This window comes from Homo sapiens, chromosome 6 (assembly GCF_000001405.40).
Source record: "Homo sapiens chromosome 6, GRCh38.p14 Primary Assembly".
NCBI lineage: Eukaryota > Metazoa > Chordata > Mammalia > Primates > Hominidae > Homo > Homo sapiens.
Window position 1 is genome coordinate 144,635,776 of NC_000006.12, and position 18,463 is coordinate 144,654,238.

At 36.0% G+C, this 18,463-nt stretch overlaps 1 protein-coding gene across 2 annotated transcripts in view, besides 2 other annotated features; it reads left to right on the forward strand.

Annotated features, from left to right (window-relative positions):
* Nucleotides 1–18,463, forward strand: part of UTRN (utrophin) — a 567,700-nt gene that overhangs the window by 350,441 nt on the left and 198,796 nt on the right. The gene's annotated exons all lie outside the window — the stretch shown is intronic.
* Nucleotides 12,478–12,772: an enhancer, noted in NCBI's record as "tiled region #2668; HepG2 Activating DNase matched - State 5:Enh". NCBI's record gives its function as "activates a minimal TATA promoter and a strong SV40 promoter by Sharpr-MPRA in HepG2 cells {active_cell/tissue: HepG2}" and the evidence as "EXISTENCE:reporter gene assay evidence [ECO:0000049][PMID:27701403]".
* Nucleotides 18,078–18,372: a silencer, noted in NCBI's record as "tiled region #10150; HepG2 Repressive DNase matched - State 5:Enh". NCBI's record gives its function as "represses a minimal TATA promoter and a strong SV40 promoter by Sharpr-MPRA in HepG2 cells {active_cell/tissue: HepG2}" and the evidence as "EXISTENCE:reporter gene assay evidence [ECO:0000049][PMID:27701403]".

Here is an 18,463-nt window from a genome sequence, read left to right on the forward strand (position 1 = left end):
TGATCTGCCTGCCTTGGCCTCCCAAAGTTCTGGGAGTACAGGTGTGAGCCATCGTGCCCAGCCTAGGCCCCCCTGCTGCCTTTAAAAAAAATTTAATAATTCACATTATTGAAATATTTAAACCTAGTCATTCTTTCCTTTGGCTGTGACTTCTTAGAAAATTATTATTTTTTTTAAATATATGAATGTGGTGACTTTTGACACTGTATTTGGGTGTTTATTTATAATTTATATGTATGAATTTTAAGTACCCTAGAATTGAGTGTAATAGTGATAGTATTTTTAAAAGTGGAAATTTTTAAGGTATAGTATGTTGCAAATTTTTAATAAAAGTTTCTATTCCATCGAAGTGTAAGCCGTCATGATTTGTTTCATACTTTCTTATGCTTGTAATTAGAGAAAATGTGGCACATATACACCATGGAGTACTATGCAGCCATAAAAAATGAGTTCACGTCCCTTGCAAGGACATAGATGAAGCTGGAAACCATCATTCTCAGCAAACTCACACAGGAACAGAAAACCAAACCCTGCATGTTCTCACTCATAAGTGGGAGTTGAACAATGAGAACACATGGACACAGGGAGAGGAACATCACACACTGGGGCCTGTCAGGGGGTGGGGGGCTAGGGGAGGGAGAGCATTAGGAGAAATACCTACTAATGTAGATGATGGGTTGATAGGCGCAGCAAACCGCCATGACATGTGTATACCTATGTAACAATCCTGCACGTTCTGCACATGTATCCCAGGACTTAAAGTATAATAAAAAAAAAATAGTTTTAAGCTGGTTTCTCTAAGAAAGTTTTCCTTTGATAATGAAGATAACAAAGAAGATAGATTTTAGCAGCAGAAGTATTCTTTTCCTCATATTTCCAGACATTTTAATACATATTTGCAGACATTGTAATAGTCATCTTTATAGCTCACTCCAGTGCTATACATTGGGATTATAGTTGCTTGCAGTATAGCATTTACATCTTCCTTATTCTTTTTTCTTCGTTCATTCTCTCTTTCTTGAACTCTCATTCTCTCTCTCACTGGTCTTGTGAAAGAACATGATTGGATTTCTGCTTTGAGCTATCTTTAAGTTTGATTACAAACTGTAACAGAGTAGCCTTGAGGTTTTTTTTATTGGTAACTATTTTGTGATGAGGTGGTTGAAATCGTGCTTCTTTCTTGATTTTTGTTTGTTTGTTTGTTTGTTTTTTGAGACGGAGTCTTCATTGACACCCAGCCTGAAGTGCAGTGATGTGATCTTGGCTCACTGCAACCTCTGCTGCCTGGGCTCAGGAAATCCTCCTGCCTCATTCTCCCAAGTAGCTGGGACCACAGGTGCATGCCACCACACCCGGCTAGTTTTTTGTATTTTTGGTAGAGACAGGGTCTTGCCATGTGGCCCAGGCTGCTCCCAAACTCCTGAGCTCAAGCAATCTAACTGCCTCGTCCCTCCAAAGTGCTGGGATTACAGGCGTGAGCCACTGCGCCCAGCCAAGTGCTTCTTGATTTCTATCATATTGTGATGTTCAGAATCTAATGTAGTTATGTGGCCCTTACGTTACTCTGCCCTGTACTATCTTCTTTATTATTTTACATTCATTTATATTATACTTCTAAATTATAAAATAAAATTATAGTTTAATATAAACTATATATAAATCTAATATAGATTTTTACACTATGAAATAATGCACGTTTCTTGAAAGAGCAACTATAGTAGTAGATACATGTTATAACGTGCAACGTCTCCTGCCCTGGGATTCTTCCTAAGTACCACACCCAGAATAACCACTGTTTCTTATACAGCTTTCCAGAAAATTTTATGTATTTTTATACAAGCACTTGTATTCACATACACGTTGTTTAAAAAAAAAAAAAGAAATGGTGTTTTTCTGTACGTGGCATATGTTTCAACATCTTGCCTTTTCCCCTCCACCCTAATGGACATTGGGTAATGATGTAACTAATTTCTGCTTTTCTGTTAGCTTTGGCAGCCAGGGAGCTCCAGGCTCATTTACACTTGCTGGGAGCCCTGTGCTCAATTATAATTGCCTACGATAGCCTCCACTTTCTGATTTAATGTTCTTCTTTTTCTGAATTTTTAAAAAAATCTTTTTAAAAAGTTTTATTATGGCTTCTTTACGTGAGCCTTTTAAACAACTTGAGTGAATAGGAGGATTCAGGAATTATGGCTCATAGAAGAGACATATTTAACCTTATGCATCAGACATTGTTAGACACTACGCTGTATTTGTATAGCTTCAGTGTTTGGTAGCTCTAGATATCAAGATAGTATTTAGGAAATTTTCTTTTCCAACATGTTAGTTAGTTCTGAAATACCCCAAATGGTTAATGTAGTTTATAAACTCCGAAAAGCTTTTTATCTAATGAGAGCACTGTTTTAAAAAAACCACTAATGATTTTCTAGTTGAAACATTTGAAACAATTTTGAAGTACAGGGGACTTTTCTTTAAAACAGTGCTCATTATACTCGGAAGATAAGCTCTTGAGCATCTGTCATCCTTGTTGATGTATTCATACTGTTTTTATTCTTTGAAATGTATTTAAATAGAAAAAATAGTTCATGTTTTTTGTCATTCTTTCAGACTGCAGTGTTTTGTTTTGAATGTGGTGAAATTGGTTTTATTCCTCTTGGGACTGCTTATCTCTAGGGCCTGGATGCTTCCTTTAAATAGGGATTCACAGGTAGTAAATCATTAGAATTTTTGTTTAACAGTGAAAGAAGTCACTTAACATAGGTCTGTCATAGTTCTGTCTTTGTCACTGTATGTAGAATTTCATAGTGATACAACATCCATTTTCTTAGCAAAAAGTTAGGTCTAGGGTATATCTGTTTGGAAAATTACATCAGAATTGATTTTCAATTAATCAAAGTTACTAAATAGTGCTCTGAGTTACCAGTGGTATTTAAAATTAATTTTGGAAGTTGCACACATACTTTATGTGTATTTTCTTTTTCTTGTATGAGAGAATGATATATATTAAATTGTAGTTATTGCTTATAATCCTTTTAGAAGGCAATGGGGCTACTCAAGGAGGCTGAGGTGGGAGGATCGCTTGAGGCCAGGAATTCAAGACCAGCATGAGCAACATAACGAGACCCCGATCTCTAAGAAATTTTTTAAAAAAAGTTAGTCAGGAATGGCTCATGCCTGTAGTCCTAGCTACCTGGGTGGCTGAGGTGGGAGGATTGCCCAGGACTTCAAGGCTGCAGTGAACTATGATCTTGCCACTGCACTCCAGCCTAAGGGACAGAATGAGACTTTGTTTCTAAAAAATAAAATAAAATAATAAAAATAAAAGAAAAGGAAGGCAATGATGTTCTGCATCAGTGACAACAGCATGGGCATTGCCAAGATCTTTGATGACCTTACTGCTTACCTCTCCCCAGATTTTACATAATTTTATCTTCCTGTCCCATTGTACACTGACAATACTCTCCTTCAAGTGTCCTCACCTCTTGATTTGTCATATACTCTTAATTTTATTGCTACATTTGGCCATTTTTTTCACTTTTTTTCTTTGTTCACTTTCCTTTGCTCCATACTTAACTAATTTTCCAGATTTCTGTCCTTAAATCTCTTTCATTTTCACTGGATATACTCTTCCCAGGCTTCCCAGGCTTCTGTAACAATCTATTTGCTTTGTCTCCATCCCATAACTCTCCCTGAGCTCTAAATTATTATATGCAACTGCTCACTGGACATACAAGTTCGTGATTCAACAGACCCTTTAAAACTCAAATCTGTTTCCCTTAGTATATTCCCTTGTTTGTTAATCTTGCTCAGTTACCCAAGCCAGAAATTTAGGTATCATTCTTGAATACATTGTTTCTCTTCCTTTCCACACCCGATCAATCAAATACACAGTCTTATTGCTTCTTACTTTTTTTTTTTCTTATCTTATTGCTTTTATTTTCAGTATTTTTTTGAATCATGAAGCTGTATAAACAGACAAGGTGATCTGTGTTGTGTTAGGGCTGTCTGTGCCATGTTGCTGTGGGAGTTTCTATATGGAAGAGGGGCATTAACAAAGCTTTGAAATGCCAAAGCAGACTTTCCAGGGAAGAGCGTCTGCAGATAATTCTGAAGAATGTGTTGATAGTATCTTGGCCACAGGGCCATGAGGCATTATCAGGGGCAGGAGAGAGGGAGGCTATTCCCAGGAAAGGCTCCAGCATGTGCCAGAGATGATGCAGACAACATTAAGATTTGAAAAAATGGCCCAGTGAACAAAGTGTTTTTGGTTTTGAGAGAGAGAGAGATTGAGAGACAGAGAGAGAGAGAGAAACCAAGGGATCATGATAGTTATAGTCAAATAGAGGAAGGATTATCTTTTGAAAATGTGTTGGTTCTGTGATACAAGAGGAAGCTAAGACATATCGTGGAAACATCTCCCCCCTCCACCTTAATATCAAGAACAAATTGTGGAATCTAATGTTAATGAGAAGTAGTTCCCCACTGTGTCAGATGCGCAAAGAGAAATTGGAATATACTTATCAAGTATATTATAGATGGAATTGAATTATTGTAAAGAGTAGATTAGAGAGGACCGCCAAAGTCCAGTCCCAAACATGATACATTAAGTGTATCCCTTAGTATAATACCAAGGAACCCCAAAAGCTTTACAGTGTCTAAACTCTATTTTACGTCTTCCTAAACTGATATCGTACATTCAATTTATATATTTCTGTACTAAGATCATGAATTTAGAGTTTATTGAGAAATTGCCAGAAAAAAATGTGTTAAGTTTTTATCCCTTAAAGAGTATCTCATAACTTACAGATTTGAGCAGGGAGGTATATAATCAGGAGTACAGTTTATGTTTGTTTATTCAAAGCTCTGATCTCATGAAAATTGCTATATAAATGCTTGTTTTAACAACTGTTATTATTAGGGGTTTGTATGAAAGTCTGCCAACTTGGTCCCAATATTTATATTATAAATTAAAATGTTTTGAAAAGAACTGCTTCTCAACTGTGATCCTCATTGTTTTTGAAACCTAAAATATACTAATTTTTAATTTTTGTAGTTGAAATAGTTTTTAATGCCAGCAGTCTTTTGGTTATCAGTTTCATTTGAAGACCAGAAGTTCCTGAACAAAGAATATTTATTTCAGATTAATAAGTAAATAAAGTGAAATAAAAGATTTTTTTCCTTTGAAATTGAGGAAGATCAGTTATTAGTAGTACAAACTGTGCACTAGATTGTATCTTAGGGTTCCTAACTCATTCTTACCAATGATAATAACTCTGAACCCAAGAATATCTGAGACAGTTCTCAATTAATTTAAAAAGTTTATTTTGCCAGGGTTAAGGATGCACCTATGACACAGCCTCAGGAGGTCCTGAGGACATGTACCCAAGGTAGTTGGGGTACAGCCTGCTTTTATACATTTTAGGGAGACATAATACATCAATCAATACATTTAAGATTTACATTGGTTCGATCTGGAAGGGTGGGACAACTCAAAATGGAGGGACGGGTGCTTCCAGGTCATAGGTAGATTTGAAAATTTTCTGATTGCCTATTGGTTGAAAGAATTATTCAATGTAGAAAAGAATGTCTGGGTTACAATAAGGGGTTGTGAAGACTAAAGTTTTATCCTGCTGGGGAAGCCTCCAAGTAGCAGGCTTCAGAGAGAACAGATTACAGATGTTTCATATCAGACTTAAAGTCTGTGTTGATGTTAATGCTGGAGGGGTGTAATGAGGCATGTTGACCCCCTCTTCCATCTTGGCCTGAACTAGTTTTTCAGGTTAACTCTGGAACGCCCTTGGCCAAGAGGATTGGTCCATTCAGATGGTTAGGGGGGCATGTAGAGTTTTATTTTGGGTTTACATAACCCATTATGGAAATGATTCCTTGGCCCTAAGGTAATTATAGATTCTGGATGCCATGCTTATATTAAGTAGATACCAAAATGCTACTTTTAGAGTTTGAGTTTCTCTTACGTTTTTAGAAATTCAATTGAGTAGAACTCGTTATTAAGGAAAAAATACTCAAGACCCGAATAATATTGCCATGAATAAAGCGGTTGATTAGTGATTGGTTGACTTTATGCTTTTCAGTTCACAGAAATATTGCTGAGGAATCTTGACACAGGCAATGCAAGTGTTTACATGAATATGAAATTAGCAACTATATTTAGCTATAATTAAAATCTAGTAAGGTATGTAAAACCTGTTTGTCTTTGACTAGAACTTATTCCAAGTTAATGAGATCTCAAACAAGGCATAGAGTGTATGTCCCTTTTTGAAAAGATGATGATATTTTCTTAATTACTGTCTGTGTTTGGGCTGGCCAATTTTGACCCAGTTAAAAAGCTGCAAAAGCGTGGTCTGAACTTCTCTTTTTATTATGGCTAATTTTCCTTTAATTTAGACTACTTATACAAATACCCAGTATTATGAGCCAGCAAAATTAACAGGTGTGGATTTAATATGTAGTGTGGGTCCACAGAGATTATATTCGTTGTATAAAGCCTAATTTTTTGTCTTAGTTGTCCTTGTCATGTTTAGATCTTATTTCAAGCCATTTCTTTTTCATTTTCTGATAATCTGATTTCATTGTCACCTTAATATCTTCTTTTTTTGTGTTTGCAATCTTTTGTTTTTCTAACTCTAATCCCAAGAGGCAAAAGTAATACATTTTGAGGGATTTTTGAGAAGTTTTGTGCTTGCCTTCCCCTTGTTCAGATAAGTTGTGCTGCAAATGGCTCCATTCCTCCTGTTTTGTACTAGTGACAGGAAAGTTCGTCTAGAGATAAAATGTCACAAATCTGTCCACCTCCTCTACTCTCTCAGGGGACTCTACAACGTCACGTTTTCTTAACTATTTAATTTGTAATGCCTTCTTTATTTTGGGGAAATTACAAAATAGTGACACAGTCTCCCCAGCCCAAGAAGGAGGAGATTTTTTTTCCCCAGTAGGGCGGTTGTTTTATTTTGACTATATAGTCTTCCCTAGAATTGGGGGAATAAATATTGGTATGGTTTTTTAATATTGATTTCCCTGGGTAGATTATATTTCTGACTGTAAAATATATTATTGGATGTGCTTCTCAAATAGATTTTACATAATCAGAGAAATTTTGACCATGAGCCTAATTTAATACTTTTTTGCTCCTTCTGAGTTTACATAAACTTTTTATTTTTCCATGGAGTTTATCAGAATCCCAAATCCTCTGCTTCAGTCTTCCTTTCATCCTGATCTTCAGGATATTTTTCCTGGAGTTATTATTGTTATTTTATAGTATCTATATAGCTACTATTTTATAGTAGTATCTACTATTTTATAATAGATTGTCCTGGAAAACCTACCGGTGCATGAGAGAAAAGTTCAAGGCTAAACTTAAAGGTACTGGGTAGTCAACAGCTCATGTCTCTATCAGAAAATGATGGAGACTAGAAAGTAACATACATGAGTGGTTATCATTTTAAAACTAGAGAAAGAGTCATGGAAGTTGGTAGGGGGGACTTTAAAGGTGAAAGTTTAGATTATGGTCTATCAGAGAGGAATGGAAAATAATGTATTTTAAGGAGACTGTAAGTATCCAAAGTATAAGTTAAGGTTTAAAATATTACATTTGAGTAAAACAAGAAGAAAAGAGTTTAACGTTTTCCTGTAAGAGAGTAGGTTGTATTGGATAGTCATGTTGTTCAGATTTTTATTTATTTTGTAAATAGTTTTGTTTTGTTAAAAATTTGTGTTAATTGGGCCGGGCACGGTGGTTCATGCCTGTAATCCCAGCACTTTGGGAGGCTGAGGCGGGCAGATCACCTGAGGTCAGGAGTTCAAGACCAGCCCGGCCAACATGGTGAAACCCCATCTCTACTAAAAATACAAAAATTAGCCAGGCATGGGGGCAGGCACCTGTAATCCCAGCTACTTGAGAGGCTGAGGCAGGAGAATCGCTTGAACCCGGGCGGTGGAGGTTACAATGAGCCCAGACCATGCCATTGCACTCCAGCCTGGACAAGAGTGAAACACCATCTCAAAAAAAAAAAAAAATTTGTTAATTTTGCTGAGGTGGTCCTGAGACTGGATCAAAAATTGCAGCACTATATTCTTCTAGAAACATGCACACGTTTTTTAAAATTGCTTTACCTGCACAATTGAGTTCATGATATTTCTGTCGTGTCGCATTTGTAATGTAGTTAATTATTTTCATCATCTTCCTGAAAAAGGCAAAATCGATGGGAAATTTTTCTTCTTAATATTGAATCACGTATGACTAATTTATATTTACTTTTGCAAAGCAGGGAAATATATGAATAAGAGGCATGAATCCACAATTGCTGAAGCAAATCAATACATGTGAAGGAAAAGCAAAACCCTATGTAGGCCTATGTAGAAACCTTATGCACAGAACTAAATGCTTGTTAAGTAAAAATTCCTAATCCTTATCCTCTTATGCCATTTTAAATTAACTCTAAAATTAGTATTGGAAAAATCTCCCTGATTTGTTCAAATGGCTGATGCTTACATGTCATTTTGGATCCAGAGATGCAAAATATAAGAGCTTCATACATAGGTTCAATACTTTTCTAAACTGAATTGGGTTTTTGAATAAAATACCAGGGTATTCCAAATGAATGATTTTTATCTGACTCATTAAGAAGTGAAAATAAATATTTTATTATACATGTAATATGATTTAGTTTTACAAACTGTTAATATCATAATAATCTCAAGAAGTTCTAAAAATGGAGATAATTATGACAGCCATAAAATATAAAGTATATGGAATTATATATTTGGCTATATATTAGTCATATATTTTTAGGGCCTACTTTATATTTTTTTCCCTGGCAGTGTTTTAGTTACATTTTTCCACAGTGTTTTTCTAAAAAGAAATTGTATCATTTTGTAATTCTTAGTTTGTCAGAGAAACCAACTTTATCTCAACTTCATTAAAGAGTAATAATAAATTTGAATTTAGTTGATGTAAGAGTTGCCAGTACCAAAATGGAGTGGTTTATGCCAAGCAGTAATAAAATGGAGCCAGGAGGCCATGAAGTAAGGGAGCACACACATGTATGCCTATGATGGAACTTTTCCCAAGAAATTCCTCAGAACCATAGTATTCCAGATAAGCTGCTTGCACAAGGAAGTTTGCCTAACAAGAGCTGCCTTCATCAATGAGCTAATGTGGATTCCTGTAACAAGCTCCTGGAACCAGTGGTCTTTGTTTCAAAACAGTTCATGTGGACTTTTTTTCTTTCAAAAGCTTCCCCTTGCTTCAGCCTCTTTGCATGCACCTGTGGTGGGCCATAGCAAGCATAACCCGAATTGCAATTTCTTGCTATTCTCAATAAACTCTTTGTTGTGGAGAGTTGGTCCCTCTATTGTTTATTTTAGGTTGAGATTAGCATAGAATTTTGTAAAGTCCTGGAGGTATATCCATGCCAGGGATTAAATTGGATTCTATTCCCAAGTAATTTTTGTTCTTAAGGACACTCTAAGGAATTATTTGTGTCTGCTTTAATTATTAAAAATAATTTTGTTTATTCAGTTCAATAGAATTGTATCTTTTAAAATACTTATAGTCCTTAGATACTGTTTTGTTATAAAGTATTTTGTTTTGAAGATGTCTTTAAATTCACTGGCTTCAAAGATAACTTCTGCATTATTCCTTGGGCTTTCCTCTTAGTTCAATTTAGAAGGAACAGAGAAAACACAAACATTTAGGTAAATAATGGAAATAGGATTCACGTCATAAAACGATACTTTGCAAAATTGACAAGGTGGCAAACATACAGGTGATGTTAGTTTTTTGATTAATAACAAGAGACAGAATCTGAAGGGTTAGAGGAAATGCATAAGAATCTGAAAAAATAAAAGGATCTGGAGAAGACACCCTTAAAGGTGATGATCAAGAAGTCTGTGTTGTATAACGGGGCTGTTGGGGCTCAAGGAGAACAAATTTTAAAAGTGGCAGGAGGTATGGAGAAAGCTGTGTTGGTGATGTGAGTATTATGGGCTTCTCAAAGCATGGTTCTGACTCTGGCAAAAAGTGGGAGGTCAGAGCAGAGTTGGCTGCTTGTAATGGGAGTGGGGGAGAAAGCAACTCTTTAAAAAAATTTATGTCAAAATGGTATTCAGTGGTCCATCACATTGAATCAACACACCTTTATTGAAAACATATTATTTAGCACACACTCTAGGGGTTCATTTCTCTTATTCTCTGAACTTGAAATCCTTTTCTTGTTGATCTTTCATATGGGTCACTAAACAGATTCTATTTTACCTGATTAAATAAATGGTAACAAGGCCTAGGTCTACTCCTTCGATTTTACTGTATACTTACTTAACAGTTCACTTTGTCAGACTTCTACCCCCTCTACAAGATTAAGAAAATTAGTGGTTACAGTGTCATGCAATTCTATTCGGCTTGAAAAGTTATTGAGGCATGTTTTTCCACCTTTTTAACCTTCATTTATTTAGTAGAAGCATTCCCTTAAGTGTATGATGAGTCAACACTGGTTTTGCCTGACTCCAGTAAAGTCAAAGCATTATTTAATTTAAAATGTGTGCATGTTAAGTTCCTTTCTTTGCATTTAATTGGAGACTTTTTTCCACAGTTAGCTCACCAAAATGTTACTAGGTTCCTCTGTGGCTGTCTACTATTTGAACAGACAAGCAACTAATTAGAATAACAGAACAACATGACTGTCATTCCTCCATTCTTACAGGTTATTTTTAAAAAGAGATTTTGTTTAAAAAGAGAAAATATGTATTATATTAAGGAAATATAAGATCCATACTCTCCTTGAGGCATTTTTTCACTTCACCATGCCAACATTCCTTTATTCCCTATCATAATACCGATCAAGAAATGGGAGGTTTTCCTAAGTCAAGAAAACCTCTCACACATAAAAATTCAAACTGGGAAAGCAAATGTATCAGGGGGCGGCTTTTAATTTGACAAAAGATCTGCTACATTACAAAAGAATTTTTCTAAAGATTACTTTATGTAGACAACTCCCTCAGTGTACCGAAAATCAAAGAATGTTCTACATTTTAAACACATTTTAAAATGGGCACACCTGTTCCTAATATTCTTATGTAAATGGACCTATTTACATGTGAGACCCAATGTGGTGGGTAAATGAAAACCAGTGTGTGAGTTACTCAAGTTTGTTAATGATGTTAGAAATATAGTCAAAATAGCTCAGTCTGCTCTTGCTATGCTATTTTGTCCAGCCAATCTCTCATCCTCCCTTCATCCTAATTCCAGAAGAGAGGATAGGAGTAAAAGCAAAATCTTATTACAAAAAACACACTCTGGAAAGAAAGAAAACTGTATTGGATAATACTCAGTTTGGTATTTGTTTTCTCCTGTCTAGTTCTTAGTACCCTTAGAATTGAGATAATTCATTATTTGTCACTCAGGTAGGTTTCGAGTGAACTGATATATTTAATTAGATCCTTAAAGCCCATAGGATTTATACTGGTCATTTCTGTCAATTGTGAATCTGCTCATACTTGTTCTTCATGAAACTATGGAATAATTTTTCATGTATTTTCATGTGTCAATCTGAAAAGAAACTTAGGTTCTCCAGAACAGAGGAGTTTATTTGAAAATAGCAGAGGATTATAACCCAGAAAATGTGTGCTGAGCCAGATCACAGGCGCATCAAGGAGACTGGGACCAAAGGGAGACTTTTAAAGACAAAGAGAAGTCTTCATAAACTGTTTGTTAAACCAGAAAGATCATTGGTTACAAGAGCTTGCTGTAAGAGTTGGCGACAAATCATTGTTAAAGACGTCATTACTAGACAGATGTCCTTGTGCAAGCTGCTTATCTGGAGCTTTGCGGTCTAGGGGAATTTCCTTGCTAAAAGTCCTGTTACAGGCAAATGTGCAGTAAATGCGGGAATGTCTCCTATAAGGCCTTTACAGGCATTTGTGAGTGAGGGCTCCCCCTTCGTGGCCTTCCAACTCCATTTGCTAGGGTTTGACATAATTGATTCCATTTTGGTATCAACAACTTTCACACATGGATAGTTCAAAATGGAAGCTCCTGTAAAATAATACTTTCATATGTATTTTTTCATGGTGTCTAGTACCTGTGCCACATAGTGAATGCCTGAATAAAGGACCACATGTATTACAGTTGTTAGATTTTCTTAGGGACCCTATTGTTTAAATGACTTATAATAAGCACTTACTGTGTGATGGTAAACACTATGCTATTTATGTCACCTATACTTCTTACTTAACATTAACACAACTCTACACAGTTTGGAATATTGTTGAAATAATCACTTTATAGCTGAGAGTAGAGCATGTATGGGTTAAACTCTTGCCCAAGGTCAGACAGTGAGTTGACTTGTGTCTTCCCATGTTGTCACTGATGCGTCTTCTCCTTTGCTGGCTCTTGTTCCCTTTATTCCTTCAGTAATATAGAGAAACTACAGCCTTTCATTCCCAATAGAGTGAAAATACACCACTCATTCATTATTTTTCAATTATAGTGCAAGGACGAGCAGTTTACCCTAATATCCATTTCTTGTTTGGTTGGGAAATTCACCAACAGAGCAGAAAAGCACAGTGGGGAGAGACCTCAGGGGAAACACATACAACTTTGAGATAAACCCTGTTTTTGTTTTAATGTTAAAATTTAACTTTTAATCCCTTTGTAGTATTTACACAACTGTCAGTGAAATGATAAATCTTCTAGCTCATTTCACAAGAGGGCAGCACTTTCTTTTAAAATTTAAAGTATGACTAAAAAAATACAATCAAATTAACGTTTTCTATCATGAAGTTAAGCTTGAATGATTTACAGGAAGATGGGAGCCTCTCTGTCCTGGGGGCAATTTATGAGTTAAGATGAGTGCAGATCTGCAGGGTAACTTGGGATCCTTAGAAAATGGAACGATGGATTAAAATCAAGCCCTAGAATTTTTGACTTGCAGTTTGAATTTGGAGACTATTTTGGTAACTTTGTAAATGTGTAAAAGTCTGTCAAGATCATGTCTTTCTTTTCTATTATGGCAAAACATGAAGAGTGAATCATTTTAATATATTCAAATTGTTTTGCTCATATCAAATAAAAAGTATTTATTGAGCAATGGTTTTATGTTTAGGATTCTATAGGTCATTTGAGGAACAAATAAATTTAACTTTTTTCTTCATTATTTAAAGAGCTTAACTCCCTTGGGGTGACAAGGAAGGGAAAGCACATTGGCAAAACAACCTGTAAACAAGCCAAGGCAACATGTAAATAAGGTACAGGGTAACAGTACAGCATAATGGAGATGGCCGATTTGGATAGGGAATTGTTGAATTAGGGTTTTAATGCAGGGCTTTGAGTAGAAGGTGGAAATTGAATTGGTCCTCAGTGGGTGGATAAAATTTGAATAGATTTAAAAAAAACAAAACACGAGGAGGCTATTATTTAAGAAAATAGAATCCTGTCAACAGAGAAAAAGTACAAAGTGCATCAGGGCATGCTAGGAAAGCCTGTTGTTTAGAACATTGTAGGAATGATGCCTGGTAGGTAGGATAAGGCTGTATTGTGGCACCTTGAAAGTTAGGAGTCAGGGCTGCACTCTCCAATACCATTGCCGCTGGTTGTATGTGACTATTTAAATTTAAATGAATTAAAATCAAAATCAAAATGTATTTCCCCAGTCACATCATTAGCCACATTTCAGATGTTTAATAGCCATCCTATTATTGAACAACACAAAGATGGAATATTTTCATTATCACAGAAAGTTCTATTGGACAGCACTGCATCACAGTTTAGTTATTTGGGGGTTGGAATATGGAGAATCATTAAAGAAACAGGGAATGATACGACAGTATAAAGAATGTTTGAATTTTAAATCTGTAAGCCGGGAACTTAAAGGGAACTTCTTTTTTTTTAATGTTAAGTGTTTTCGATGGAGCATAAACAGAACTTGCAAGGTATAAGCATTTTGTATAAGTGTTCTAAAAACTGTCATATTTATTTTTTATTTTAAATTAGCTACTAGTATACTAGCTTTAATGAGGAAATAGAAGGTGAGCTAAAGGAAGTAACTTTTTCATTAGTTTTCAAATTCAGTTAGGTTTGTCATGCAGCATACAGAACTGGAGAATACAGAGAGACTGGATTCAGGAATGATGACGTGAAGAAATCCTGTGAGGAGATGTATTAGCTCATTCTCATGCTGCTAATAAAGACAGACATACCTAAGACTGGGTAATTTATTTAAAAAAAAGAGGTTTAATGGACTTACAGTTCCACATGGCTGTGGAGGCCTCACAATCATGGCAGAAGGCAAAGGAGAAACAAAGGCACATCTTACATGGTGGCAGGCAAGAGAGCTTGTGCAGAAGAACTCCCCTTTATAAAACCATCAGATCTCATCAGACTTATTCACTATCAGGAGAACAGCATGGGAAAGACCCACCTTCATGATTTAATTACCTCCCACCAAGTCCCTCCCACAACACGTGGGAATTATGGGAGCTACAGTTCAAGTTGACATTTGGGTGGGACACAGCCAAACCATATCAGGAGGTGGAAGAGAAAAGAAGCAAGAAATATCAAAAAATATTAAGATATTTTGATATTTAAGTAGTGTGTATATGTGGGTGTATTAATTGGTGATTCCAACTTGTTTTAAAGTTTCAAAGTTGTTTGAGATGATATGTATGAGATAATTTAGTAATTCAATAACGACTTTTGGTTGTCTACTATATGGTAGAGACTGTTGTAATTTCTGGGGATACGTCAATGAATACAATAGAGCATTGCTATTTTAGGAATGGCTTCACTGATGTGATGAATATTTTATTATTCAATCTGGCTTTTAATAATTACTGGTCATAGGCCGGGCGCCGTGGCTCACGCCTGTAACCCTAGCACTTTAGGAGGCCAAGGCGGGCAGATCACAAGGTCAGGAGTTTGAGACCAGCCTGACCAACATGGTGAAACTCTGTCTCTACTAAAAATACGAAAATTAGCCAGGTGTGGTGGCACGAGCCTGTAATCCCAGCTACTCAGGAGGCTGAGACAGGAGAATCGCTTGAACCCAGGAGACGGAGGTTGCAGTGGGCCCAGACTGCGCTACTGCACTCCAGCCTGAGCGACAGAGCAAGACTCTGTCTCAAATAATAATAATAATAATAATAATTACTGGTCATTGATAAATCTTTATGTAACCTATTTATATTTTATTTTAAAATTTTATTGTTAATAATAACCAGTGTTAACTCATAACAAGTTTTCTTTGTGGTAAAAAATGAAGAAATATTTTAAAATATCATACACTTAGCTTCTCTCAAAATATTAGGTTTGTGCAAAAGTAATCACGGTTTTTGCTGTTAAACCAACCGAAATAATAATACTATAATAATATATTTTTAGAGTTTTTATCAATTTTTTTGATATATATGAAAACTAGTGGAACCCTCACCTCTGAAAAAGTCAATGCAGGCATTTCTGGTATACATATAATAATAAGAAAGTCTTAATTGTCCTGTAACTAAAACTATCTAAATCTCAATAAATTTGTGTTGAAACAAATGCGCAATTATATAGTACTAGTGAATGTCTTTCTTGATAAGAGTGTTTGCTCAAGTGTTAGAGGAATATTCTACACAGAAAAATCAAGGTTCAGACAAGAGTTCCAGGGTCAAGCAGCTAGATAAGTGTCATAAAGGAAATCATGACACAGGTCGTTTGATTTCGAGAGTGTTATTCTTTCTTTTTTATCCCATGAAATATATACTATAGGGCCAGGATGAAATAATACAGATAAGTAATCTAGTTTACATGTAACATCAATGAATATTTTCTCATACAATTAAAACATTTTCTGTATTGCTTTTCAGACTATCATAGTAGTAGAATGATCTGACTCAATTTTTAGTGAGGAAGTTATGTTCTGATGACTTAAGTTCTTATCATCCTGAACTACATATAGTCTTTTCTATACCAATGTGTAGTGTTGTCAGTTTGCGTGTTGTAAATATCTTCTTCCAGTTTGTGTCTTGCCTTTTTATTTTCTTTACAGTATTTTTTTTTATTTCAATAGGTTTTTGGGGGGCAAGTGGTGTTTGGTTACATGAATAAGTTCTTTAGTGGGGATTTCTGAAATTTTGGTGCACCCATCACCTGAGCAGTGTACACTGTATCCAATGTGTAGTCTTTTATCCCTCACCCCCCTCCCACACTTTCCCCTGAGTCCCCATTGTGTTGTACTTTTAAAGGCTCTTTTACTTCCTAATTATTCCATATTCTGATTTTAAAGTTAAAACACTCTCCAGATTAAATTCTAGATGGAAATTGTACTTTAAATTCCTTTGTTTAGCAATTTCAAATGCAGAGCTTGAGATGACAAGACATTGCAAAGTCCCTTCTACTGTGGCTTAACTTATCCCTAAACAAGAATGTGGCTGATGTCAGTGTCAGATGGTGCTTCACCTGTGGACGTTCATTTCCTTTAATATTTTGTTACAGTAACCTTCATGGCACATAAAGCCTCCTGTCTCTGAACCTGACAAACAGGGTCCAGGGAATAAGACTTAATCACTATCACAAGAAAATCACGGGAAAGACCTGCCCTCACGATTAAACTATAATTTTCTTTTTCACTTCTGCAACTTAGATCCATGTACGAAGGTGCTATTCACATTGCAGCATCTCTTTAGACACTAGTAGACTCTGGCGCTTTCACTCTGCCACAGTCTAGGTGGGATCACTTAAACCTACTTGAAAGATAAAGCGATGCTTCAATTGCCTGGACAAATCAGGCCAGACATTCATTTTCAAGCGTTATCAATGGATTTTTATAAACATTCCAAAAAACTTTAGACCGTAGTATCACAGTATTAGATGACAATAGGGATACTCGTTTCCTTGGGAAGAGAATAGCTCGAGTTATATAATGCCTGTTTAGACACAAAGTTGTCCTTTAAGTAAGCAGGAGTTACTAGTTATAAAGTAACTTATGACAACAAAAAGGCTTTGTTCTGTCTGTCCCTTAGAAAAGCTTACCATTGACCAGCCCACTGCTGCAGAAAGCTTGTTTCTATTGAGGGCTGGTTTGGTAGTGTTAGACCATCTGGCACCTCAAAACTTCTGAAACTTTTAAAGGCAAAAATAATTGTCTCCAGTAGCATTAGCTTTCAAATATAATGATGCCACCCTTTTTGGAATAGGTATCTACTCAGGAAGGTAAATGTGTTTTACTTGGGTATTTTCTATCTAATGATTTAATTTTGTATGAAAATAGAAACACAGGCTGTGGTGAAATTTTCACACAGTATAAAAGATTGAACATTGAAATGTTTCATTCTAGACACTCAGCTCTCCAGTCCCTCCCTTCCAGGTCGCCATTATTGCTGTATTATAGATCTTTACAGAAATATTATCTGTATCTCATAGATTGTACCTGTACATAACTACATATCACTCCCCCCCTTTTTGGCGTATACATAGGATATGTACGTGCATACATATTAGAGGTTAATTATTTGCTCTTAGAAATTATCTCCCTCTTGGCCAGGCACGGTGGCTCACGCCTGTAATCCTAGCACTTTGGGAGGCTGAGGCAAGTGGATCACGAGGTCAGGAGATTGAGACCATCCTGTCAAATATGGTGAAATCCCATCTCTACTAAAAAATACAAAAAATTAGCCAGATGTGGTGGCAGGCGCCTGTAGTCCCAGCTACTTGGGAGGCTGAGGCAGGAGAATGGTGTGAACCCGGGAGGCAGAGCTTGCAGTGAGCGGAGATCACGCCACTGCACTCCAGCCTGGGCGACAGAGCGAGACTCCATCTTAAAAAAAAAAAAAAAAGAAATTATCTCTCTTTTCCATAGTTGTACAGCATTTCATTATGTGAGTCTGCCATAACTTGTTTACCCAGTTACCTTTTCATGGACATATAGATTGTTTTCAGCTCAATAAGTCAAGTAGGACTTATTGAGCATCCTTGTACATATGTCTGTACACATGTTTGCAAATTCCTAGTGATAGAATTTCTGAGTCAAAAGTTATATGCATTTTAACATTTGATGGGCATTGTTAAATTATCCCTTACCCTCAAATTTGGCAGATTCTAATAATCTCTAGGAAATGTAATGACTTAAAGTAAAGGAATTCTTCATTTTGTAATCAGCCTACTGATTTCCATGAAAGGTGCATAATACATTGTCTGTGTTCACCGTCTATGTAGAACTCATTGCTCAGAGCAAACATCTGAAGGAAGAGAGATAACGGTACAGAAAGTAAATATGACTGGAGGGGAGAAAATGTGTGATTGTGGTGTGTGACTTTTTGTGGGAAACCATAGTTGTAAGTGTGAGTGGTTCATGTGGTTAAGTATTAACTGGTTATTGGTGATATTAGTGAAGATGGATCATGATTAGGGAGTTGAAGTAGGTTTAGAGTGTGATTTTGCAGAGAATGCAGAATGGGTTCCTAAGTAAGAAGA